The sequence below is a fragment of the Homo sapiens genome, chromosome 2 (assembly GCF_000001405.40).
Source record: "Homo sapiens chromosome 2, GRCh38.p14 Primary Assembly".
Lineage (NCBI taxonomy): Eukaryota > Metazoa > Chordata > Mammalia > Primates > Hominidae > Homo > Homo sapiens.
The window spans coordinates 79737313-79764571 of record NC_000002.12 but is presented as its reverse complement, the minus strand read 5'-3'; the positions used below and the strand labels follow the sequence as shown (position 1 = coordinate 79764571).

Genomic DNA, 27259 nt, shown 5'->3' with positions numbered 1-27259 from the left:
GAATTGTTTTTGATTCTTAAGGATGTAATGTTATAAACATTAATTTATGTAATGTTAAAATACATTTACAACAGTATTTTTTGGCCTATAGTTTTCAACATTACTAGACTTCAATCCATGTATATGCACATGTTGTAATTCTTTCCACATACTTATTGCTAATGTAAAAACAAAATATATTTTTATTAGTTGAATAATAGTTCATTAGTGATAGGTTGCCTATAGTTTTGTATAATTGGCATAACAGGAAATATACAGCTAAAATAAGTAAAATCAAATTATTGAGTTATCTTTAAATTTGGAAGAGAACATTCTTTAATATGAAAATGTCCTTATTAAATACAAGGTGATTCATAAATATTGCTAGCAAAATTTACTGTATGTTGTTCAGTTAATTCTGCTCCAATTTTTAACACTGAGTGTCTCTTTCCCCACTGAGGAGTAGGAACTGGTGATACAAGTTACAGGGTCTGTTTTCCCTCCTATGTGGACCCACTGTGATCATCACTTAACTGTGTAGCTGTGTGTCTGGAGGGACTTTGTCCTTGACCAATTTTGCTTTTCCCGTTCTTCATGCAGGGAGGGGAGTGGATGGAGTGGGCTGTTGCCTTAACTCTAAGCCTAATGCAGTCCAAATACTACATGGCCAACAAAAGCTTTTAAATACAACTTATATCCATTTGATAACTTCGTATTAAACAGCACAGAAGAAAGACTATCATACCTGAAAATCTATGTCCTAGTCCTCTTATTCCTGTAATGAGCTGTGGAATCCAAGGGGAAACTTCTAGGAGTTACATTCCTCATCTTTAGAATATCCACAAACAATGCAACCGTCAAGTTCCTTTTCAGGTCAAAAATTATATGACTCTGTGACTGTGGCTTTATTACAAAGCAGATGGATGATATTACCAGATCATATTGTTTGATGATGACTACCATAGAGATGGAAAAATGATGCTGCTATTGCAGAGATGTTGAAAAACTATAAGAAATAATAAGTAGTTTAGTACTTATAATAATACTCTACCTTCTACCTTGCAATGCCCTTTGAAATAAAAGAGAAAAATAGGACATAAACAGACAATACCGATTGTCAAGGTGAAAAAAACATACAAATCATAAACACCAAAACAGTTATTTTCTGGATGGAGAAGAAAATGGAGAAAAAGCTACACAGAAAGAAGCTGTGGATCAAAGTGTGCAATAAATTCAAACCAATTGCTGCTGCATGAAAGAAAAATATCAGGGTCTGTGCAAGATGAATATAAAGCTGAATTATTCAACAAAACAAGGAGATACATAGTAACATTGATCTTGGTCTGCATCTGGAATAACTGGTTTAGTTTATAACTTCATTTTACCATATAGAAATGCAAATTGAAGATTTAAAAAAGATAAAAATATTAGCGATATAGACTTCATTAACAAGGAAAGATAAAAGGGGAGAGCCAAATTATTACTCCCATTGTCAATCACGAAACTGTCAAATAAAAGAATAGTTTCTAAGTATCTGAAAGATATAAAACCAGAATAAGACCCCAAATTAAGGGGATAAGAGCACTTGGGTTAAAGTTCTAGTTAACTAATAGCTAATTCTGAAAAACAGTTTGTTACAGAGCCCGACAGTACAGCTAAAAGCTTCTGACACTCCTAGAATAGGAGATACTCATTCGAAATCAAAATCGCCACCATAAAATTGTGTAAATGCATGAGATATGAAAAACTAAACCTCATGAGAACTTTACAGAACTAAATTTAAAGTCATTATCATTAAGCTCATACTATTGCACATTTTAGAATGTATATTCTTCTTGAAAGATGAACATGAAAGAGCAGAATACAAAGATTCTTGATTTTTTAATTGATTATATTCATTTTCAAGACAGAACATAAATGAAATATAAACATGAATTGAAAGATGCTGATTTTTGACCAGGTCTTGCCTGAATACCAGAAGAAGTAGATAAATTATCTTCAATTTTTTTTCTATTACTTATTTTATCTTTGCTCTTTAATCTCTAGGACACTCTATGCAAAGGGATTCTGACCCAGAATTGAAAACAAACTAATAAAAAATCATAAAATCTACTCGTTGTTCTAGGATTACACCTTTTACGCAATGTCATGATCTGTTTCCCAAGGCTGAAATGAAAGAACCAGGAGGGTCTTTTGCAAAAACCAGGAGGATTTTCTTGAAGCACTCCTCCAGGGGGATTTCTCTTGAAATGCTCGTATCTTGCCTTGTTTTCCGTGTCTTTCCCGACTCTTGGCCTGCTGTCAATTGAGACTGGAAGCTCCTCTGGGGCAAACCACGCCTGGGTTGACTAATCGAAATCCAACATTGGGCAGTGGATTCAGTCTCCATTCTTCCTCTTCTTTTTAAAATACAAGACAAAAATATATGGTTCCAAGAAATATTAGAGAACATCAAATTTGAAGATTTTGTTTCCTAGCTGAGAAATTAAGACCAAAGATTAAATAGGCTTGCTCAGAGAAACACAGCCTAATTAACGACGAAGCCCTTCTGCCTTGCTTTTCTTAAGGAAAACAAACAGAATACAATGGGGCTCTCAGATCACTATACCAAGAAGAGCAAGTGCTTGTTATTCAGAGCTCTTGGCATAAAAAAGAGATGTATTAGTTATAATACTCACACTTATAGTTAAAGACCATATTTTAAATGTATTAGGTAATATTGCAGATGACTGCTACCATTTCAGTGGAAGCCCATAGAGAAACAGATCAATATTTTTAATCATGACATTTAAGGTATTACCAAAGCAGTAAGTTCATAAGGCTCACAATTAGAAGTAAACCAATTAGTCTCTTTCCTTTCTGCCTACACCAAAAGATCATATTCTAATGAATGTAAATATTTAATCCTTTTGACCTTTCATCCCTTAAATACTCCCACATGAATCTGCATCGGGGAACTATAATATAATTATTATAAGAAGCAACAAACTGCTTCTTCCTTTATGCAGCCCATACAAATACGTGCACATTTTAAGGGCTTTTCAAAAGCCAATGTTATTAAATACTTTTATGCTTTAAAAAGACAAACGTTCTTGAGCTCAAATTTCACTCCATTCACGAGAGCACAAGTACAAAGAGAAATGGCAGAAACACTAAAAATATTTCAATAATATGCATTGACTTACATAGCATTAGTTATTTATAGAAATTCAAAATAGAAGGCCAGATTGGCTTAATAGCACCACAAAACTTAAACTACCCTTGGGTTGTTAAAACTGTTTTTTTAAAGTAAAACTTCAAATAAATCATGCCAACAGCTCATTAAATCCTTATGGTCACACGCACTGAAATGGCAAAAAATGTGAACCTAAAACATAGACGTGGCCGAAAATGGAAAAATTATCTATTTACCTAAAATATACAGCATTTCAGCTTATCGTCATTTCATAAAGGAAAAATCATGTCTTTAAAAGCAATTTAATTTTCACATATTCAATTTAAAAAATGTTTCTTGTTTTCCCAAATTCATTCTGGCATTTATCTAATTCTTAGAATTTTATAGATTAGATGAGACTGGCATTAATATTTGGCAAATACAAATTGTGGCACATAAAGGCTGACTTGCGCCATGCCATATATTTGGCTTTTGGCAAACCTGAGTCTCCATTGTACCCAAGAGGGCACACGTAACACCCTGCTTGGTATCTACACCCCACAGCCTCCATTTGGTAGGACAAGGGTTTTCCAGGAGAAATCTGGCACCAAGAGGCAACTATTTCTAAAAGAAGGGTCATGAACACTGCATTGTGTCATAGAAATTTAGAAACAATAAATGCACTTTTACATAAGTACAATTATTTCAAATTGGCATAGCATTACTTATCAATTATTACCTATTGTGATGGTTAGTTTATTCTGTGAAGTTGGTCAGGCATTAGTAACCAGTAATATAATCAAACACTAAGCTAAGTTGTTGCTTTCTAGACATTTTGTAGATATAGTTAACATTTAAGTAAAGAAGATTTGCCTTGATAATGTGAGTGGGCCTCATTGAACCAGGTAGAAGGCCTTACAAGCAAAAACCGAGGTCTGCTGGAAAAGAAGAAATTCAAGACTTCAGCATAACTCCTACTTGAGTTTCCAGCCTGTCAGACTGTCCTATAGATGGTGGACTTGCTAGTCCCACAACTGCATGAACCAATTCCTTAAAATACACACATATATAACCTATTGGTTCTCTTTCTCTGGAAAACTCAGACTAAAATAACTAAAGATTATATACACACACACACACACACACACACATTTTATATGTAATATACATATATAATTATTTATCAAGGGGTTAGAAAAGGCCTTTCTGAGCAAATGTCTTAATTAGCATTTACATAATGCTTTCTATCTATCAGTCACTGATTTACATGCCTTGCCTATATGACAATCATTATTATTCCCATTTTACAGGTGATGGAACTGAGGCCTATGAGACATTAAATACTTGTCCAACACCACACAGTTAATAAATTATTGAGTCAGGTTTCAAATGTAGGCTGTCTAGTTCCGTAAACTGTACTCTTAACGAATATGCTATACCGCCTTAAAATGAATAGCTTTAAGACCTGCTTTGGAGCATGGCTGAGGGCTTTGGATGTGAGGAATGAGGGGGCAAAAAAGAATAAAGTTTAACTCTAGCACTATTGATTTAAGCAACTGGATTTTTAGTCCCATTTCTGAATTGGAAAAAAAAATGAGAGAGGCTGTATTTGGGCTATATTAAATAGCAATATCTATGGCTTGGGCCCAGAAGTAGAAATTATGGAATGGTTGGTATATACAGTAAAATGATTGACAAAGAAGAAAACAAAGCTCAGTTCAGAGCCCTGGGACATTCTAATAAATAGAATTCCAAGAAGATATGGAACCAGAAAAAAGTGGGAGGGAAAGGAGGTATTGTAGAAGCCAAGAGAAACAAGAAAGGGGATGAACCAGGGATGCAGGGCGGGAGCTCAACTTTATGTGATGCAACTGAGAGGTTAAGTAAAGATTTAGGGAAAGAAACATCCAGGTTTAACGAAGAGTTGAACCCAATGACTCAAAGCAGAGCAAGCTTGGTGAGCCTGAGAACCAGAGAAAAAGTATGGGAGAAAAAGTGACCATTCATAAGCATCAATTTTATTTTATTTATTATTATTATTATCTTTGAGATGGAGTCACTCTTGTCACCCAGGCTGGAGTGCAGTGGCACGATCTTGGTTCACTGCAACCTCCGCCTCCCAGGTTCAAGCAATCCTCCTGCCCCAGCCTCTCTAGTAGCTGGGATTACAGACGCGCATCATCGTGCCTGGCTAATTTTTTGTATTTTTAGTAGAAACGGGGTTTCTCCACGTTGGCCAGGCTGGTCTCGTGGCTTTTCATTCATTTTTAACTGTGGCAACAAAAGAGTAGGCATACAGTGTCAAGCATTATGATTTTTAGTTTAAGATGAGGTAATTCAGCCTCTGCATTTCTTTCTGTTTACCACTTTCTAATGATTAATGTGTCTGCTTAGCTCCACAATGCTGGGTTGACATCTCCATAATTTATTGTAAGATCTGATTTTTCCAGATTGCCTATATATCACTTCAAAGAGCTGGTCATCTGAGACCTTTTATTAACATGCACCTAACAAGATTCAGCATGGTTTAACCTTGACCTGTTTGTTTTCTTTTCAAAAGCAGACTCATGGAATCAACCTGGGTACTGATCAACAGTGGATTGGATATAGAAAATGTGGTACCTAAACAATAGCAAATACTACAAAGCCATAAAAAAGAATGAAATTATGTCCTTTGCAGCAACATGAATGCAGCTGGAGACCATTATCCTAAGTGAATTAATGCAGGAACAGGAAACCAAATTTCACATGTTCTCACTTGTAAGTGGGAGCTAAACATTGCATACTGATGGACATAAAGATGGTGACAATAGACACTGGAGATTACTAGAAGAGGAAAGGAAGGAGGGGGCAAGAGCTGAAAAACTAACTTGGGTACTAGGCTCAGTTACCTGGGTGACGGGGTTAATTGTATCCCAAATCTCAGCACCACACAATATAACCAGGTAACAAACCTGTGAAGGCACTCCCCAAATCTGAAATAAATCTTGAAATTATTATTATTTTTGTTTTAAAAAAAGAAGAGTCACATCTAGAAGCACGCTTGCCCAGCCTTGGTTTCTGAGAGGTCCAGAGTTAATGAAGACTGCCTGGTTTGCATCAAGTCACTGACATCAGAATTAGAACACATCAGTGAATCAGCTTCGTCTTCAACAATCTTATCTGGTTTTTATTCAAGATGTTTATATCGAATGCATTTTTGATTGAATTACAGACCTAGCTTTTAGAGAGAAAATGCTTGATAACCAGGTTTCTTTATCTTTATGTGTTAACGTAGAGTATTTTATGCACAAATCAAACATTTTGTTTAAGGAATTTTCCTTAAAACAAAGTGAATTACATGAAATGGAGATAGTTTCATGATCTATCGGAAAGATCATTTTATGATTAAAAATACAATTTTGTCATTAACTTTACAACTGATGTGTCAGAAAGCTTAAGAGCCCAATCTGTTGTCCAGTTGTAGCAAGAATAACAATGACGTTAGCAATAAAGACAACGTCCACCAGGTTTTTCAAGTCTGAGGTGTGCTAGGTCTGTTGCTAAGTACTTTACATGCATCCTATCATCTGCTCTGCATAGCAATGCTGGAATGAATGTAAGATGAGCCCCAATGAACTCATGAACACACTGGCACAGAGTGAGTAAATAATTTTCCCAGGTCGCACAGCGCAGGCACCATAAAAACTACAGTTGGAATTTGAACCTGGACTCTACTGCAAAGCAAGCCCCACCCATTGAGCCACCTGTGGCTGTGTTCTCGGGTGGACAGGTTTGCACAGGATGCATAGGCCCTAATGTATATGTGCATTAGTCACTTCCCTGACTCTTCTTGAGTCTTCGACCATATTTGTCTTTTCTCTTTTCCATGGATTTCTTATTCTCTTTCTGTATTTTGTATATCCTTGCATGCCTCTTTAAATGTTTTCTGTGAAACACAAGAATGGTTTTACTTAGACTGGTAAGTTTAGACTTCAAAAAAGGGTATTAAAAGAAACAGTCCTGAATTGGCAATCTTCTAAACTAGATTTCTGATTCTTATTCATACAGATGTATAATTTACCATTCTTTGCAAGTCAGCTTAAAAATAAGAATAGTTCGGCACTCACACTGTGTTTGTTCTTGCCATTTTTGCTAAGCATATCAACAGAAAGGTTTGTGATTATGGTTTTTTTATTATTATGCTCTGCTCAGTTAATAATCTATAAATATTGGTTTATTAATTGTGACAAATAAGTGTAGAGTATATGTAATTTTCTGTACTATCTTTGCGAATTTTCCATAAGTCTAAAATTATTCTAAGTTTATTTTAGAAAATGGAACAAGATTAGGTGATGCCATATAAATAGATGTTTTCAAATCAGCAGAGTAAATATGTAGGGTTGTGATTACTGAGTTATAAGGCAATTAAATCTGTTTAGTTTTATTTTAGAAACTGCCAAACTGTCCTTCAAAGTGGCTATATCATATTGCATCTGAATGAATGAGATCTCCTGTTGCTCCACATATCACCAACAGTTTGTATTGTCAGTTTTGGAGATTTTAGTGATTCTAGTAAGGATATTAAAATCTCATTGTTGTTTAATTTGCATTTCCCCAATCACAAATGATGGTGAACATTGCTTCTTATGCTTATTTGCCATCTGCATGTCTTCCTTGGTGAGGTATCTGTTCAGGGCTTTCACCCATTTTTATGTTGAGTTACTGGTTATCTTGTGCAATTTTAAGAGTTCTTTGTATATTATGGATATAAGTCTTTCATCAAATATGTAATTTACCAGTTTTTTCTTGCAGTTTATGGCTTGTTTATATTCTCTTAGTATTATGTTTCTCAGTGCCAAAGTTTCTAGTTTTAATATGAAATTCAAATTATCAATTTTTTTCATGAATCATGCTTTTGGTTGTTTCATTTTTAAATTGCACTTCCATAGCCTATAATCATCACCCTGTTTAATATTTTACTTATTTGTCTCATCTCAAAATGTAATATTCTTATTAGCAGATAATGTATGTTTTCTTTATTTCATATTCTCAGCACCCAAAATAGTGCCTGTGCATAGAACTCAAAAAATATTTGTAGAAGTAATCAATGCACATGGATATCAGTATCAGTGTCATATTATACAAGTATGGATAATACTTCAAATGACAAACAGGATGACTTTGAGAGACTATATACAAAGTTTCTTACAAATGGAGTGGCAAACAATAAACCATTGCTATTGTTGCTGTTATTTTTGCTGAAAGAATATAGCATTTTCAAAAGCCAAGGGTTCCAGAAAGAGAGGTCAGGTGAAAGAATAATATGCCATTATCTTCCAATGTCTTGCAATAAAAGCCACACAAAGGGCTCTGTGCTGACCTGAAGTACTCCTGGGCCCTCAGCTAATGCAAACTTTGGCATACAAATATATTTTATTTAACAAAATATGCAACAGATGAACCTATTGCAAATGTTAAAATTTGCATTAAGATGAATCCTAAGGGTATATGACATTTTCACGTGTATGCATTTTTCATCATATTTTCACATGGAACTTCTTTTTGTCTTTTTGTCATTGTATGCATCTCTAGGTTTTTTGGTATTTTTTAAACTTCTGATGTTAAACCTTCTGAGAATTGATTTCATTCCTAGATAGCATACTTTTCCATGGCAAAGAGACCTAACTAATTAAAATGATGTTGATAACGATGTATTAAACTTAGGCTATTAGTGATTCTCAAACTTTAGAAGCATAAGATTTACTTGGGGTGCTATCTAGTAATAAAATTTACAGGGTCACCCCAGACATACTGAATCTGGAGTTATGGCTAGACTTATCAAGATGAATTTTCATGGACTCCTCCCATACCCACGCAGGGAATTCTGAACCAGATGGTCTGTGAACTTCACTCTGAGAAACACTTGTAAAATGAAGTTTCTATAAGGAAGGGGAGGAGAAGCCACTGGAAGGACAGTGAGTGGCAGTGTATGGCCATAGTGGAGCACCATCAGATCTCTAGCTCAGCTGCACTCATAGACTCAAGAACGACATCCTCCATTCCAACTTCAAGGTCTGCCCTTGCTGGATCTAGCACACATGCACTTTATTACATTACTCAAACTGTATCATTTGCTCTTGCTTTGTCACTTAGGCTGAAATGCAGTGGCTCTATCATAGCTCAATGTAGCCTCAAACTCCTAGGCTCAAGCTATCCTCCTGCCTCAGTCTCTAGAGTAGCTGAGACCACAGGTGTGCACCACCATGCCCAGCTCATTATTTTATTTTATTTTTTGTAGAGATGGGGGTCTTGCTATCTTGCCCAGGCTGGTTTGAACTACTAACCTCAAGCAATCCTCCCACCTTAGCATCCCAAAGCACTGGGATTACAGGTATGAGCCACTGTACCCGGCTGTGAATAGTATCATTTTAAAAAGTAATGGATCTACACTCAGCAGAGTCCAGGCTCAATGAAGTGAGATCCGTAGAGGGAAGATACATGAGTTATCTTCCCTTCTCTTACCTAGGATTTGCCTCTTGTATCCCCATTTTCTGTCCTAGAATACTCTTCTTTCCCCAAAGGTATCCTCCTTCAGTGGAAACATCCCCTCCGCTCCCCATACAGGAGTGAAATCTTACCCTAAGACCAGCAAGAACCCATACTAGAACATGGTAACTAAGGTACCATCCATACAGAGGCAGTCAGGCAGCAGTGAAGAGTCAGCGCACAGCACAGAAAGGAAGCCCAATATCCTAGGAGACTCAAGTATTCAGGGTATAAGGAGTAGAGGCATAAAGCCAGGGATACTTGAGAAAAGGACACACAGAGGAGTAACAGAATCCTGCCCACCTCCCGCAACTCTTGTTTTTAGAGAGGCTGACCCCTGCGGAAAGTGCTGCAGGAGCGAGAAGAACATGCCCACCATCCCCACACTGTGCTGCTTTATGTATTTATAGGGCAAATGAAGGAGGAGGGACAGAGCTGTGTGACAGAGGGAGCTTCCTGGTCAGGGAAGTAGTCTCTGACCAGCTCTCAGCCTAGGAGTTCACACAGCTGGCATCAACTGAAGTTTCTGTTGGGTCCTCTCATTCCACTAACACCTCACCACCAAAGAGGGTGAGAAGCAGGGAGGCACCAGGTCATTAGGAGGCAAGGGCTTATGACCTCTCAGATATGTGAAGGAGAACTTTCTGTCATGCTCTGTCATGTTTTCTCAGTCTTGCTCTCTGTCTTAGCCCATTGGTCATCATTTACTTAATAAATGTCGATTGAATAAAAATGAAATAGTGAGGCCAGGCACAGTGGCTGAGGCCTGTAATCACAGCTCTTTGGGAGGCCTAGGTGGGCAGATCACAAGATCAGGAGTTCGAGACCAGCTTGGCCAACATGGTGAAACCCTGTCTCTACTAGAAATACAAAAATTAGCCAGGCATGGTAGCACACTCCTGTAATCCCAGCTACTTGGGAGGCTGAGGCAGGAGAATAGCTTGAACTCAGGAGGTGGAGGTTGCAGTGAGCCAAGATGACGCCGCTGCACTCCAACCTGGGTGACAGAGCAAGACTCCATCTCAAAAAAAAAAAAAAAAAAAGAGAGAAAAAGAAAAGAAAATAGTGGAACTTGTTGATATCACCATATCACTTCACATTTGAGGTTATGTCATAACAAAGAAAATACTGCATGAGCAGTGAATGGCTTGGCCATCACTTTCATTTAGGAAATGGTCCCATGAAGAAGCTTCTTCTTTCATCTGCACCTCCTTGTCACTCTGCTCCATAAGATTCCCCTTAGTTTTGAGTTAGGACCATGTACATCTCATCTACACGCTGGCCAAATACACCTTGGTGGCATGGTCATATCTTAGCTGTTTGGATTTGTCATTGCTCAGACAGACAGTGGGCAATGTGAAAATGCTGTTGTCGAACGAAGGCAGGAAACATAAGCAACTGCTCCATGGCTTAAGAGAATGTGGAGATATAATAACGGGGTGACAGAGGAGGTGTTTTAAGGATTCTCTATAAGTCCTATGGCATACAACCAATGCTGTGTTACACCATTAAATGGATTTGCCTATTGAGAAAATTTGAGAAAGGATGCCTATCATTCAAAGCACAGCTTTCAAATCTATTTCAAATTGAATAAGATTACTGACTACCGTATGTGAACACCCCATTTTTAACAGATGCAGTTACATACCATATAAATGAATTAAATAAAAAATTCTTAGGCAAATTATGCCTCATAAAAATTGGCCTTTTCAGCAGCATCCATGAAAGGAGTAATCGTCAGCTGTATTCAGTAAATTAAATCCCTTAAAAATGTACGGGAGATCCACACAGATGGCAGTAACAGACAAAAAATAGAAAAACATCTCCAATAGTGGTCAAGTATCAGCTATCCATGGTCCATTAAAAACACCTCTGTCTTTGTTCAAAATAATCGAGATCATTTCATCTAATCTGCTTTTGCTCTTACTTTTTCCACAAAACATTTTTGGGATTATCTCTCCTCCCTACCTGCTTTCTAGATAAAGAAATTTCCTCTCTGCATCACTTCATGCAACCCTGAACTGTCTTTCTTTGTATTATAATTATGGCTCCTTCTCTTCATATATACCCTGATACTTCTTTTTTGGGCTGGAAACAATAAGCAAGCAGGCAAACAGTTGTAATTTTGTGCTTGCCTTTAATGTCTCCCCATTGCTCCTCTCCATTTCTCTCCTTCCATTCTGTGACGATCTTCTAATGCATGCCTGAAGTGCTCACTATGTGCAGACATTGTGTCAGGCTCCAGAGATACACAAAATAATAACAAAGGGGCCCTTAGTTGAGTACCAGACTATGAGAGGCAAAAAGAAATACCTTCAATATGTATTGCAATGATAACCAAAAGAGAGTCTAGTTAGCATTCCTACCTACATCAATTATTTCAACATCTTTTCTGTTCCTTCAGGATGGATTCTTTCTTTTCATTTAGCTATTGCCCTTGTGGCTTCCTGAAAATGCACTTTTGAATATAATTAATGACACCTGTCTAGCTAAATCCAAAGCATTTTCTCATTATTCATTCTCCACAATCTCTGAACACTCTGATATGACTACAACAACATTCTAGAGTCTAGAGTGATCACTATCTCCTTTAAGAAACATCCTATTCCCTTGGATTTTAGGATTCTTTGTTCGCTGGATATTTTTCAGGGGATTGCTTTCCCTAATTTAGTTCTACTTCATTTTCTAATACTAGTTTGTTCTTTCTTCCAAAACTATACCTTCATCCCTCTGTTCTCCTCTCTCTATTGGCAAGTACTTCCAAATTTCTCTATTTCACCATGGCATTGTCCTTCTGCCAGGTGGTCCTCCCCATTCATCTATGTTTAAAATCAAACCCGTACACTCTCCCCTGCCCCTGTCACTCCTAAAGACTTCCCAATTAATTAGCCTAGGGCCAAAAATGTAGAACAAATTTTGGCTCTTATCTCCCCTTCAGTAAGTTGAAAAAGATTTTATTCTTTTTTTGTAATGCCTGCAACTTTTAGCTTCTTTCTGTTCCCATTACCACCTCCTCAATCCTGGACCCTCAAAGTAGTACTATATTTTGTTTCATTTCCCTTGATATTATGATCACACCTAACCAATCTGTCTGGGTCCAGTTTTTCTCTAATTTAGTCAGGTTTTCATGAAGTTGCCATATTAATCTTTCTAAAATATCATTTAAGTGAGTAGAAGCCAGCCAGGTAGATAGCTTCTGTCCTCCTTCCCTCTCTCCCTTCCTTTCATCATGTTGTCTATACTTTTCCCTATCTGGATCTGTTCTATCATCTTATCATATTTCCTTCTTTCTTTCTTTTTTTTTTTTTTTTTTTTTTGAGATGGAGTCTCTCCATCACCCAGGCTGGAGTACAGTGGCACAATCTTGCCTCACTGCAACCTCCGCCTCCCAGGTTCAAGTGATTCTACTGCCTCAGCCTCCCGCCTATCTGGAGCTACAGGCATGAGCCACCACACCCTGCTAATTATTTTGAATTTTTAGTAGAGACGGGGTTTCACTATGTTGGTCAGGCTAGTCTCAAACTCCAGACCTCAAATGATCTGCCTGCCTCGGCCTCCCAAAGTGCTGGGATTACAGGCATGTGCCACCCTGCCCAGCCATCTTATATTTCTAACTGTACCTGAATATGAAACATTTCATCAAATCAGGGCTTCTTTATCCAACCTCCAATTATTAGTGCCATTCTTTTTTATGCCTTTGAAAATTAGATACAGCCTGAAATTCTTATCCCACCAATCTTAAACCTGCAATTCTTGTCCCACTGGTCTTCGAAAATTTTTAATCAATGATCACATTAAATATTACCTCCTTCTTGTTAATTTCAGCTATGTATCTTTTTTTCCACAACTCCTGAAATATTTAACTGCCCTATACATTTGACTGCCCAGTATATACTTAACACATATTCCTGTGTACCTGCAGAATGTCAGGCTGGGTAACACATCATTTAGCATAGGATATATCTATCCATAATATTTTAATATAGAATATCAAGTTGTTTCTCCTAGGTAAGTCTTATCTACCTCTTTTTTTTTTTTTGAGACAGAGTCTCACTCTGTCATCCAGGCTGGAGTGCAGTGGCAAGATCTTGGTTCACTGCAACCTCCACCTCCTGGGTTCAAGTGATTCTCCTGCCTCAGCCTCCCCAAGTAGCTGGGACTACAGGTGCCTGCCACAACCCCTGGTTGTGGTTCTTCTGCCCAGCCTGCTGCCACCAGACTTCTCTTTCACTGTGTTAGCCAGGATGGTCTTAATCTCCTAACCTCGTGATCTGCCCGCCTTGGCCTCCCAAAGTGCTGGGATTATAGGCGCAAGTCGCCACGCCCGGCCCTTACCTACCTACTTCTAAGTAAACAATAAGCTCATAAACCTTGTATAATGACTGCCTGTTATCAGCTGCCAAATGTGAAACACTAAATAACTACCATGGATTGATAAGTAATCTAAGCAGGGCTGATAAGCAAGAAAGGGATTAGTCCACTTCTTCTCAAATTGGCTGTAAAATGAAATCACCTGAGGAGCTATAAACATCTTGAAGCCTGGGTCCAACTGCAGAGATTCTGATTTAATTGAAGAGGGGTGAGGCCTGGACATAAAGATTTCAAGATCTTCCCAGGTGATTCTAGTATTCACTAAAGTTTGAGAACCCCTCAATTAGTGCATAGTCAAAAAAAAGTTTTCAGTCTAGAAAAATCTTCGTGGTAAACACTGAAAACGTTCTGGAATTCCCCGATTTAAGCTTTCCTTGGTCCAGAGCTTCAATATGAAGAAATGATTGGAATAACTCCTTTGCATTCCTTGTTTTCAAGAAGCTTTTCTGTGAATGGTTCACCAGCTGCACATCTATCCACTCATAGTTTGCGGACACCACGTGCAACTACCACCAACTGTAAGCCATACCGAGCTACTCAATCTTCTTCATGAAGACTATTAGATGCTGATTCAGCTCTCTAGCATCCTGCTTGGAAAGGCCGGGACTTGCTCACTAATCAAAAGGTAGTACACATTGCTATAGGTAGTACACATTGATTTAATAAATTATAATTAATAAATCTACTCTGACATCTATAGAACATTTAGCGTTTTTTTAATCCCCTGTGACTTCATTTAGTAAAACAATTCATTTAGGTAGACACAATAATTGTATTTGTAAAATGGAGAAACTGAAGCTAAAAGTGGTTAAGTGACTTAGCTTTTCAGCTAGTTATTTGTAAAAGTTAGATTAGAAGTTGGATATCTTAGCCAAACTGCCAATGCTTTCCTGATTTCACAAGACTCCTTCCTGAATATCACCTACCATGTGCTTAGAGGACCATGCCGAGTGCCTCAGGAGAAGAAAGAAATACATAAATCTCATTGTTCCTATTCTGATACGGTTTAAACTTACATTAGGAAGATAATATGCATATATCACATGACTTTAGTCATAAGTGAACAGATAGGAAGGGAGAAACACACACACCAAACTAGATATCCTATCTTTCCCAAAGTCTAAAACATCAGAGTTCTAAGTTTTGAATACAATATCTCTTTTAGGCAATTTATTTTTGTTACTTCTTTTAAATATAAATGCTATCATAAGCCTACTGTATATAAACACACCTGAGAGCAAAAACTTACGCATACTCCGAGAATGACCCCATACGGCAGATGCATCTGAATGTGTCTGCTGAGCTAGGGAATCTGGGAGTGGCCCACCTAGAGATTCATTCCTTGTCTATGAGTAACATCTGAGCCCCCAGCCCAGCCCATGGAACATGGGGTGTAGAGGGGATGGAGGCACCGTTTTGGGTTGAATGAAGGTTGCCAGGTGAAAGTTGTTAGGTAAATGGTGATACGTGAAAGTACTATATGAACTGCATGCCTTTCACAAATGGTTATGGTTCTTCTGCCAGCCTGCTGCCACTAGACTTCTCCCCCGTAGGTAAGCCCCCCAGTAAAACTCCATGTCTCATTTGCTGGCTCTGGGTCTCTTCTTTGGCCCCGTGATCCTGGCGTCATCCCCATCAGAGTCCATAGGGGTTCAGCACAACACCTACTCCAGTATTTTTTTACAGATATAGGGAAATCTTCTACTGGAATATTCTAGAGTAAAAATATAGTCACCACTCATACTGAAAACTTTTAGAGATCTGGCATGCAGCCAGGTTTAAAAGATATATATATATATATTTAATGATAAAGAAATTCAAATAACACTGTTTAGCCATATGAAATACAATAACATAGTTAAATAGATAATTCTATAATCTTGACAGATGGGGTAATTATAATGAATGTTGTGAAACTTCAAAAGAAAAACAAAACAGTTCTATATTAAAAATCTGAAAATGGACATGTACAATATGAAAACTGGCATTTACTTATGCTGAAAACAAAAAGTGACAATACTTTTTAATAAAAACAAAAACAATGCAATAGTAAAACTAACAGATTTCATTCCCACAACATATCATTTAATAAATAAGTCATGTATGGATGCTGGAGGTAGTTTAAAAGAGGTTATTGTTTTCTAAATGTCAGTGTGTCCATAATTTCTGAATATCATCTTGCATATTGGAAAACAGATTTCTATGATAGAAGGAAAGATACTGTGTTTTAAAGTTTCCATTAACTAAATATCTTGCCCCATTCCATATTCCTTCCCCACAAGCTCTTTTCTCTCTACCTCTCTCTCTGAAAATCAATGCAGGCTCTCATTGGTAAATAAAATTTGGGTAATGGGCAAACAGGAAAATCAGCTAAAGCCAGATAAGCTAAGGGGATTACATAATGACGAGCTGTGCTAGAGAATGGAAAGAATGGAGATAAGAGCTTCTGGGCATCAAATTCAAACAAGAGACTGAGGACCTTGCTGTCAGTGAGGAGGTGCACCACTCACACCTGAGAGGCATGTGCAGTGTATGGAAAAGATTGCAGAATGAAAAATAACAAAGCAAATTTTAAATGCTTTTACCCATTTTTTGGGTTATTTTGCATACTATAGTAATGCTTCTTTGAATTTGACACTGTTCAAGAGAAGGAGCACGTGGCATTTGAGTTTTATACAGGTTACACGTAGACAACATTTCTGATATAGAATTGTTTTGTAAGAAGAAATCGATAATATAAAAAGAAAACTTGAAATATCCCCTAGAAGTTCAACCATTGTTAGCTGTGTTAAATTAGCATCTGTAGAAATTTGTTACTCCAATACTCCTAGGATAGTCTGGCCAAGAACTGTGTTGTTTATTGTATTATATCCACGAGAACACAATTTCATGTAAGCTTCAAGAAAATGAAAACGTTAGTTTCTACAGAATGTGTGAAAACTAACTTGTAATGACAAAAGAATTCTTAAGAGGTTTTGGAGAAACTAAAGGGAAAAATTTATTATCATAGAAGACAAATGTTTTAAAAGGAGGCCCGGGGCCAATCAAACCACTCTCTACTATGAATACCTTTGCTATCTTCAGTGCAAAGATGGTTTCATGGATGTATACATTTGTCAAAATTTATCATATTGTAAATTTTAAGTGCATACAGTTTATTATATGGCAGTCAACCTAAAAAACCCACAACAAAAGAAAAAAATAAAACAACTATCCAGGCTATAGATGCATGAAAACAAACAAGCGTCCATCTGCAATTCAGAAGGAATATCAGTTTTCGAATGCACCTGAAAACTTAGATTTGGCACTGCCAAAACACATACACAAATATACTCTTCACAATAGATAAAATGTGGCACATTTAACGTTGCAAATTAAAGTAATAATTTAAGTTAGTATAATAGAGATGAAATTAATTTTTAGGAGGAAGGAGAGGATGAGGAAGAACAGGGCAGAAGGGGAACAGTATTTGTTAGTGTGGAAGGAGGGTTGGTGTTTCCAGGTACTAAATATCCAGCTGTGAATTGATACAGTGGTAGGTTTGCAAGAAGAATTGGAAGAGACCATTCATTCACCTCTTAATTCAATAATTCAACAAATATTTAATGAGTACTAAGCATTGAAAATCAATGATTAGCAAAAGAGACATGGTCTGGTCTCTGCCTTTATTAATTTATAGTATGGCATGAAAGACAGTCACCTCACAAATACTTAATTATCCTGTGAAAAGTAACAAGGAAAGAACCCATTAAAAAGTATGACAGGAGTTTCAGATAAAGTTTCCCTGAGAAGGTATTCCTTGAGCTGGGAAGTGTAGAAATGTGTGAAAGAGGCAGCATATATAAAGGCCCTGGGGCATGAAAACATAGTGCTTTTAAATAACTAAGACAGGAAGTGGTCCATTAAACAGATATATAGGAGGTAAGATCTAGGAAACTTTACAATAGACTATATTTGGAAGGAAAGGGAAGTAACAAGAATGGCACTAAGATTTATGCAACGTGCAACTCAATAGACATGCATTGCATTCTTCAAGGCAGAAAATGCAGGAGAGAGACCAAGCTTGGGAGTAGGTGTCTGTTCTGATTTCATGGTCCTTAGAACTTTCAACTACAATGCTGCATAGGACTACACCAAAATTTAAAAATTCTCTGTGTCAAAGGTCACAATAGAGTGAAAAGGCAACCTACAGAATGGGAGAAAATATTTGCCAATCACTGTCTGATAAGATGCTAATATCCAGACTATATAAAGAACTCCTATAACTTAACAACAGCAACAAAACCAAACAACTTGATTCAGAAATGGGCAAAAGACTGGAAATATTTCTCCGAAAAAAATAGTCAAATGCCTAGGAAGCATATAAAAAGTTCTTCGACATAAGTAATCATTAGGAAAATATAAATCAAATCTACAATGAGATATCACCTCACAACAATTATGATGATACAATTCACAAAATAAAACAAGTGTTGGTGAGGATTTGGAGAAACTGGAACCGCTGTGCACCATTAGTAGGAGTGCACTACTATGGAAATGGTGCAGCCACTATGGAAAACAGCATGCAGGCTCTGAAAAATTAAAAATATAATTATCATATGATCCAGTAATACCACCTCTGAGTCTATATCCAAAAGAACTGAAAGCAGGGCATTAAAGAGATATCTTTACCTCTATGTTCATAGCAGCATTATTCCCAGGAGCCAAAAAGTGGAAGCAACCCAAACATCCGTGAATGGATGAATGTATAAACAAAATGTGGTATATACATACGATGGAATTCTGAAACATGCCACAACATGTATGAACCTTGAAGACATTATGCTAAGTGAAATAAGCCAGTCAAAAAAAGACTAATATGTATGATTCCACTTATATGAGGTATTTAGAGCAGTCAAATTCATAGAAAAAGAAAGTAGAATGGTGATTGCCAGAGGCTTCAGGGAGGAGGATATGGGAAATAGTTTAATGGGTATAGAGTTTCAGTTTGCAAGATGAAACAGTTATGGAGATTGCTTGCTCAACGATATGAATATCGTTAACAGTATTGAACTGTACACTTACAAGTAGTTAAGACTTTTTTCTTTTTATTTTATTTTTTTTTTTTAAGAGATGGAGTCTCACTCTGTCACCCAGGCTGGAGTGCAGCGGCGCGATCTTGGCTCACTGCAACCTCCGCCTCCCGGGTTCTAGCAATTCTCCTGTCTCAGCCCCCTGAGTGGCTGGGACTACAGGCGCACGCTGCCATGCCCGGCTAATTTTTTGTATTTTAGTAGAGACAGGGTTTCACCGTGTTGCCCAGGCTGGTCTTGAACTCCTGAGCTCAGGCAATCCACCCGCCTTGGCCTCTCAAAGTGCTAGGAATACAGGTGTGAGCCACCGCACCCGGCCGTAGTTAGAACTTTATGTTGTATATTTTATACAGATCAAAATTTTAAAATGCTAAATCAACAGTATTATAGCTAGCTAGCTAGAGAGGTAGCTGATTTATTAATGAGTGGCTAGCTTGCTACATTTGTGAGGAAATCTATGAACTGAAAACATGAATTTGAGACTTGCAGAAAAATAAGAATAATTCTCTTATAATACTTTACATTCTTCTCCCCCTTCATCCATAGAAACCTGATTTTACATTGACTCTATAAACGTTAGGTCTTCCCATCCCATTCTCCCTAAAGCCTGAGTTTGACACAAAGTCTGTTTACATTGACCAAGAAGAAACATCTTGAAGATTTGACGTAACAGCAGACATGGAGTGTTTGTAGCTGTACCATACTGCAACAATGAAAATATCTCTATGTACCACATCCAGCAAACATTAAAAATGACAAGTGTAGATAGAAAGGAAAAAAACGTAAGACTTCTTCTTTGAGTAAATATCCATTGATTCTAAAGAAAAAGCCATTGTTTGCACATCAGTATAGATCCGCCTTGAACAATAATATCATTCTGCCTACCTTGTTTGCGCACATCCTCTACAGCAGCCACCAACTCTTCTTTGAGATCTTGACTCTCCTTAGCGATCTGTTCACCCTTTTCCAGGAAATTCTGAGTGGCTTGCTCTACAGAGGCAGCTAGTACATGGGCTTTCTTTGACCTCCCTTTCTTTTTACCAGATGGGCCTTTGTTGCTTGTGTTGACAAGTGTAGTCACCTTAAATATAAAAGAGAAACTGTAAAACTTCTTTGCAAAACTGTCTAGAAATGTCATGTTATCTCATAATTTCTAAATCTCCGTGTTTATTAAATCATGGGATTTCAATACTAAATCATGAATGCACATCACTTAGCCTCCTCACATAACCTTATCAAGGAAAGTGTGAAATTATGTGGATTATCATACAAATAAATGGTTATCATTTATTTCCTGTGGAAAAACAAAAGCACATGAATAACCAGAAATAGCATACTTGCCAGTGGGTCAAAGCTTCAAGTTCACTCACTTTTACAGACTGACAGGTACAGTGCTCCTTGGAGTACCCAGCCTCAGGGTGGCAAGGAAGCAAAGCAAATATGGAAGTACCTCTGAGTATTGAGCTAGGAGAACCAACATCCAGTGCTGAGCCCTGTAAGTCAGGGCAGAGATGAATGAGCAATTAATAAATAATGAGTAGCCAACACCCGGTACTTATGTGTTATTTTCCAAGGACTTTCGAAGACCTTTGCTATTTAGAATTTTATCTTATACAAATAAAATGGTAAATTTCTGCCAGGCGTGGTGGCTCACACCTGTAATCCCAACACTTTGGGAGGCTGAGGCAGGCAGATCGCCTGAGGTCAGGAGTTCGAGACCAGCCTGGCCAACATGGTGAAACCTCATCTATACTAAAAATACAAAAATTAGCTGGGCCTGGTGGCAGGTGCCTACAATCGCAGCTACTTGGGAGGCTGAGGCAGGAGAATCGCTTGAACTCGGGAGGCAGAGGTTGCAGTTAATCTAGATCGTGCCATTGTACTCTAGCCTGGGTGACAAGAGCAAGACTTCGTCTCAAAAAAAAAAAAAATAAATAAAATAAATAAAATGGAAAATTTTATGTGAGGGAAATAAATGATTCAGACTCAATGTTTAGTTAACCAGCTAAAGTTTCTAGAATCATAATAAGATTTGAATCTATTATTACTCTTTTTCTAAGTATCATAATTTGGACACCTATCTCAACTGCCAAACTTCTTTTAACACTATATCTAGAGGTATTTAATTTGCTAAAAAGGCTATTAATATCTTTTGAGCAACATGTTATCTCCTATAAACTTCTGAACCTTTATTTTCTACCAGTGAGAAGTTTGGAGGGGAAATGAATGCAACTGTTCCATATTCTGTTCAACAAAAGTTGCCAGTCATGTTTACTGCTGTATTTTTTTTTTATCGGCTTCACAAGAATGTAGGTTCTGTGGTTTATTTTCGTTGATATTTATCCTGGTTAGCAGACTAAAGATGTTATTGGAGGTTATTAAGAAAGCCAGTCTACAAAAAAGTTCCAAATGCAGTTAGCTTCTGAGGTTTACTCCAAATCCCAGAGCAATCAAAGCGATGACTCAAAGTCACAATTAATATCCGGTCAGTTTATAGAGAAAGAGATAACACTGAAAGAAAAAAAGGATTGAATAAATGTAAACTAAGATGATGTGTATAGATAGAACCAATACTTAAGAGGTGATTAGTGCAGGGTTGGGAGCTGTTTTATTCGGCTCTCTTTTGATTGCTAAATAATTAGGTAGAGTGAATTTAAGAAAGATTCTATAAGGCCATTTAAGTACAAACACTAGCCAAAAAAATGGCAAAATCATTAACTATAAGAATATCAGATAATAGTGGTTTAGCTGTAAAATGTGTATGCGATGAGGAACACGTTGTAATCTTTTCAGTGCCACCCATGTGAGGCAACCATTAAAAAAAGAAAGACAGCTTGTCACAAAGATTGCTTTTCTGAGGTGCAGAAGCATTCTCCTTAATGAGGATTTACTCTAACACATGAACATGTTACTCTTCCAAGAACCTCAACTCCCCAGAACAGCCAATACCTGGAAACAAGCACATAAGTCCCCTAAGCAAACACAGCAACCATCTCTACCATCTGCATTTAGGCCAGGCTCCTTTTATCAGAGGAAAATACTCCCTATTCTCACTGAGATGTGATTTATTTTCACTTTATGCATAATTCTAAGATGTTTCATAATCTATTTTTTTTTAGACTTCACAAATTAAAAAAAAATAGGGTGGAGAGGAGCTATTAATTTTAGATAAATTGACATTTCAAAGGAGTAGAAGCTGGTAGTGACTACCAAAATTGCTACACGACTATAATGTGGGTTCATTTTCTGGAGGGGCCGACACATTTCTAGCCTTCTGTATGTCATGGTGCATTACTGCATTAGGCACAGTTTTGGTGATGCAAATAATAGCAAGCCAGTAGAAAATGTCAGTTTTGTGGGGGGGAAGAAAAACATGGAACATTACCAGGAAGTTCCTAAGAAAAATGTGATTACTTTCAGAAGAAGCAAATCAATCCTCATTTAGTAAAAGCTCTCATGTACTCATGGGTGGAAGAGCACAAAGGGAAGAAAGGGAAAAGAGACAAATGGAAAGAAAGGGATGGGCTTCCATAAAGGCTCATGTCATAATCAGCTCGGAATAAACAATTGTCAATGCTTTTCACTGCTATTCAGTGTTTTATTGGAGGACAAACTATTAAATTAGATAAGAAAAATAAAGAAGATATATAAGTATTAGAAAAGTAAACATTAAATTACATCTTATAGAGAATATGATTCTTAAGAAAATAAAAAAGAATTGAAAGACAAACAAGTCCAACTACTACAAGAGTGAAGAGCAAGGTGGCTAAATACAACATAAACAATAAAAACCTAAAGGAAGAGCAGTAACAAAGGAGAAATGTGGTTTTAAATATGCCATTCACAATCAGCATACATTTATATGATCAGAAATAACCATAACATACCATGTAGAATGTTTCATGGGGGAAAATGATAACATTTTAGTGAAGAACATAAAAGAAGACCTACATAATAGAGAGACATCCCGCATTCTTGGATGGGAAGACTCAAGATTGAAAAGATGTCATTTCTGCCCAGTTTATTCTACAATTAGCATTCGAGATATTTACACAGTAAATAAGCAAGAAAGTCTCTCACTCGGATCAGTTCTCTTTTTACTGTAAACTTAAAATATCCTCTCATTCAGTTCGGTTCTCTTTTTACCATAAACTTAATAAACTTTTCAGTAAATTAGAGACAGATTATTTAAGATTAGCATATGCAGGACTCTTGCTGCCCACTTCTGGCCAATATATCAAATGTTTAAATGGAAGCAGCAAAAGTAGTTTAGCTCCATTAGTAGGTGAAAAAGTTGGGTCTATCTTTTTAAACTAACCACTCTTGGGAATTCTCAGCCTAGCCCTTGCTATGCAAATTCACTGATTTATTCCCACTCCTTCCCCTGAGTTGCCGTGCCCGTTCTCTTGCCACCCTATGACAATGCATGCCACTCCACACTACTGCACATTTTCCTTTTCTCCCACCTGAAGTGTCATTTTTTCCCATCATGTTACAGGCTTTTATTCTTCTTGAGCTATGCCTATATTTACACCTAAAATTCTGAAAGTTCATATTCATCTACTTCAGTTCTATCTTGTTATTTCACGGGTAGGGAAACCCAGCTTAGAGAAGTTACCATACGTTAAAAAAAAAAACTTCTTCAAATTCACATGACTCGAGAGAGACAAAAGGCTGAATTGTTGTTGTGCTCTATGCTGTATCTTTGGAACCTGAGAACTCACCAGTCTCCTCTTGCTTTTCTTTCTAACAATGAGAGGCTGCTAAACGACAAAATAATCTTAAAATGTATTTATTCTCTACATTTGTCTCACTACATTTTTTGTGTCCTATTGGTTGTCTTTTCATTCAAAGGCATTATTTATATATATGAATATATGTTTATAAATGTTAGTGAAATGTTAACCAACTATTTTATCCTATCTTCCTGCAATGCCCTGTAATATCTGATGTATTCAAGAGTCTCAGTCTAGAAAATGCATATTAGGGCTTTTTGTGTCAGCTGAAAGCAAAAGAAGGACAAAAGTATTTCAAAAATCTTATAACTAACCAAATAGGAGATCTTAGGGTTCCTATGTAACAATGCTCTTCTATGGGTAAAGAATAATAAGAAAATTTGTTGCTTAAAAAAGAACAAGATCATGTCCTTTGCAGGATCATGGATGGAGCTAGAGGACATTATCCTTAGCAAACAAAATCGAATACTGCATGTTCTCACTTACAAGTGGGAGCTAAATGATTCAGACACATGGACACAAAGATGGGAACAACACACACTGGGGCCTATCAGAGGGTAGAGGTTGGGAGGAGGGAGAGAATCAGGAAAAATAATTAATAAGCATTAGGTTAAATACCTGGGTGACAAAATAATCTGTACCACAAACCCCCTTCACGCAAGTTTACCTATATAACAAACCTGCACATGTACCTCTGAACTTAAAATAAAAGTTAAATTAAAAAAAGAAATTTATTGCTCAGTCATGAAGAACCAAGATATACTAAAGATCAGTAATCAAAGATTTTTAGTGAAGAAAATGACTACCTTGTCCCATGGATCCACCTACTACCTCTCAAGTCAGTTAGTGAGTATCAGAATTATGAATTCTAATGAATAGTGCAGTCACCTTTTGCATAACTGGATGCCTTAGAGAAGTCAGAGCAGCAGGAACACATTTTGATCTAAAGGTGGGAGCCACAAGGTGGCCCAATTGCTGGAATTGCAGGTATCTGTGCGTAAGTTTGATATCCAGACTGACACTAGGTCTTGGTAGATGGTACTTATAGACTTTTTAAGTGTCTGATGCAGCTTGTTGGCAGTCTTGTAAGAAATGGCTTATTCTGGACTTCACCACTACACAATATATCCATGTAACAAAACTGCACTTGTACCCCCTAAATCTGTATTTTAAAAAAGGCAAATATCAGCATGCTTTCTTAAACATTCATCATAAGCTGTTTTCTTTCAGTGAATGAAAGAGCTTGACAGAGAAAAACTTTTGTAAACAGACATTGAGAATATGTTACTAGAACATGGGCCCTATGAGGACAAGTAGAGAAATCCAGAAATAAAAGGCAAATGTAAGCATACTTTCTTTAAGATACATCATAAGCTGTTTTCTTTCAGTGAATGGAAGAGTTTGACAGAGAAACCCCTTTGTAAGCAAACACTGAGAATATGTTATTAAAACATGTTTCTGTCTCAAAACAAATGTTTCATTCTATGGAAATCCTTGGTTGAATGTTAGGCCTCCCTCTGCCCCAACCAGGGATTCTCTCTAATTCCCACTCTCAACTTCCACTCAAGGCAAGGATCACTCAAGATCCACACATTCTTCTTTCCTATCCATTTGTAAAGCAGTAGGGGAAAAAATGGAAAAAAAAGAAAAAAAAAAAAAACAGCAAAGTCCCTGCAACAAAAACTGGTAGTAATAGCATGAATATTGACATATGTAAAGATGGAGCTGATGTTTTCCAAGGCAGTAAGGAAATCAGTCTTAATTGAGAATAAAGCTAACCTATAAATTATTTGGAAAGTAAGGTTAGATAGATGTAATGGAACAAAACTTTGCAAGGCTTTGAAAGCCAAGTTAAGAAATTCAGATTTCATTAGTCACTGCCAATTTTTTAAAAAAGAAAAGCATAGGTTCAAAATGTCCGTTTCTCTTTCCATTCATTTCTCAGCCCAGTGAAATTTGCTTTAATCCTCTCACCTCCTGTAGCAGAGTCCTCTTGTTAGTTAACAGGTTGCTAAAATCAAATCATTTTTATCTTATAATACCATTCTACCACATTTAGTGCCGTTGACTCAATTCCACTTCCTCCTGGAAATATCTCCTGGTTAATTTTCTTAGCAATAATCATTTCCTTCTCTAAACTCATACAGCTTTAAAAGGAACATACATTACCGTCCACCAAACTCACTTATTTCTGTACCCATCTTTATCTCTATCCCTCCTCCAACAGGAAAAGCCTGCTACTACCATCACCCCTTTAACTAATTTCCTAATCACATCCTCCAGAACTGTTGTATTAGCTGTGCCAGCTTCCTGCTAAATCTTCAACGTCCTCCTCTCTGCAGACTTCCTAACCACAACCTACAAGAATACTCAACTTTGCTCTAGCCCCACCCCAAATATTTCCTCAATCTCTCTGCCTCTCCTTAAAGAGAAGAAATTCCGCAGGTCACAGGTAAGAGTGTAAGTGTTCTAGGGTCCTTCGACCTTAATCTAATAATGGTCCCAGGAACACTGGCCAGTGGAAAACTCAGAAATAGCCAGATAATAGGCACCACTGTTTTCAGATATGTTAATGGTGTGATGTGAGTATAAAACTGAGACCCAGGCTTGTATAGACTGCTCATGACCTAAAGTCCTAAAAGTTGACCTACCACTCCTGCACAATGGCGGTAGTGCAGTGGCCAAGACCATTTCATTCATTTCTCTTTCTTGCGATATGTTGTATTTTAAGACAATTTGTCAACTTGACTGTGTCTCTTCTACTTGATCAGTACTCCACTTTTAGGCTGCAAAAGCTCAACAGGCATGAAATACTTCTTTCTCCAAAATAATAGGCAATAGGGCATCAAGGCACTTTGTCTTGGAAACTCCATTACACTGATTTTGAAATGTGAGAAGGACCTGAGACTTGTGACAGAGCAACTCTGTTGCTTCCTGAAACCAGCAACACTATAGTTTGTCTAAGCCTTACCTATGGGGCAGCCAGCTGAAAAACTTTAGCACACTGATACTCCAAGTGAGCTATGGAGAGCATCAGTGTTATATAGGCTTGTTAGAAATGTAGAATTTCAGGACCCATCCCAGACCTACTAATAGTTGATTCATATGCACATTAAAATATAAGAAACGCTAAAATTTGGCACAATTATTTTCCAACTATATCATCCCTAACATTCCCCTAGATTCCTGTAAGAAGGCAAATTTCTGGACCCTACCCACAGAGCTTCTGATCAGGTAAGTCTGGGCTTAGGCATTTTGCATTCGTTGCATACAATTAAGATTTGTATGGATAATAAACTTCACTTGCAGAAACATTTATCTAGGAGTCTAGCTGAAGCGAAAAAAAGTGAAAGACAAAGCAGTGACCTTTTTTTTTTTTTTTTGAGACGGAGTCTCACTCCGTTGCCCAGGCTGGAGAG

At 37.3% G+C, this 27259-nt stretch overlaps 1 protein-coding gene across 11 annotated transcripts in view; it reads right to left on the bottom strand.

The window, feature by feature from the left end:
- CTNNA2 (catenin alpha 2) overlaps positions 1-27259 on the bottom strand; it is a 1463404-nt gene that overhangs the window by 884209 nt on the left and 551936 nt on the right. For all 11 annotated transcript variants that reach the window (NM_001399737.1, XM_024452714.2, XM_011532556.3 and 8 more), the window contains one exon: positions 19990-20185. In NM_001399737.1, the coding sequence (NP_001386666.1) occupies positions 19990-20185 (196 nt within the window). The remainder of the gene's footprint in view (positions 1-19989; positions 20186-27259) is intronic.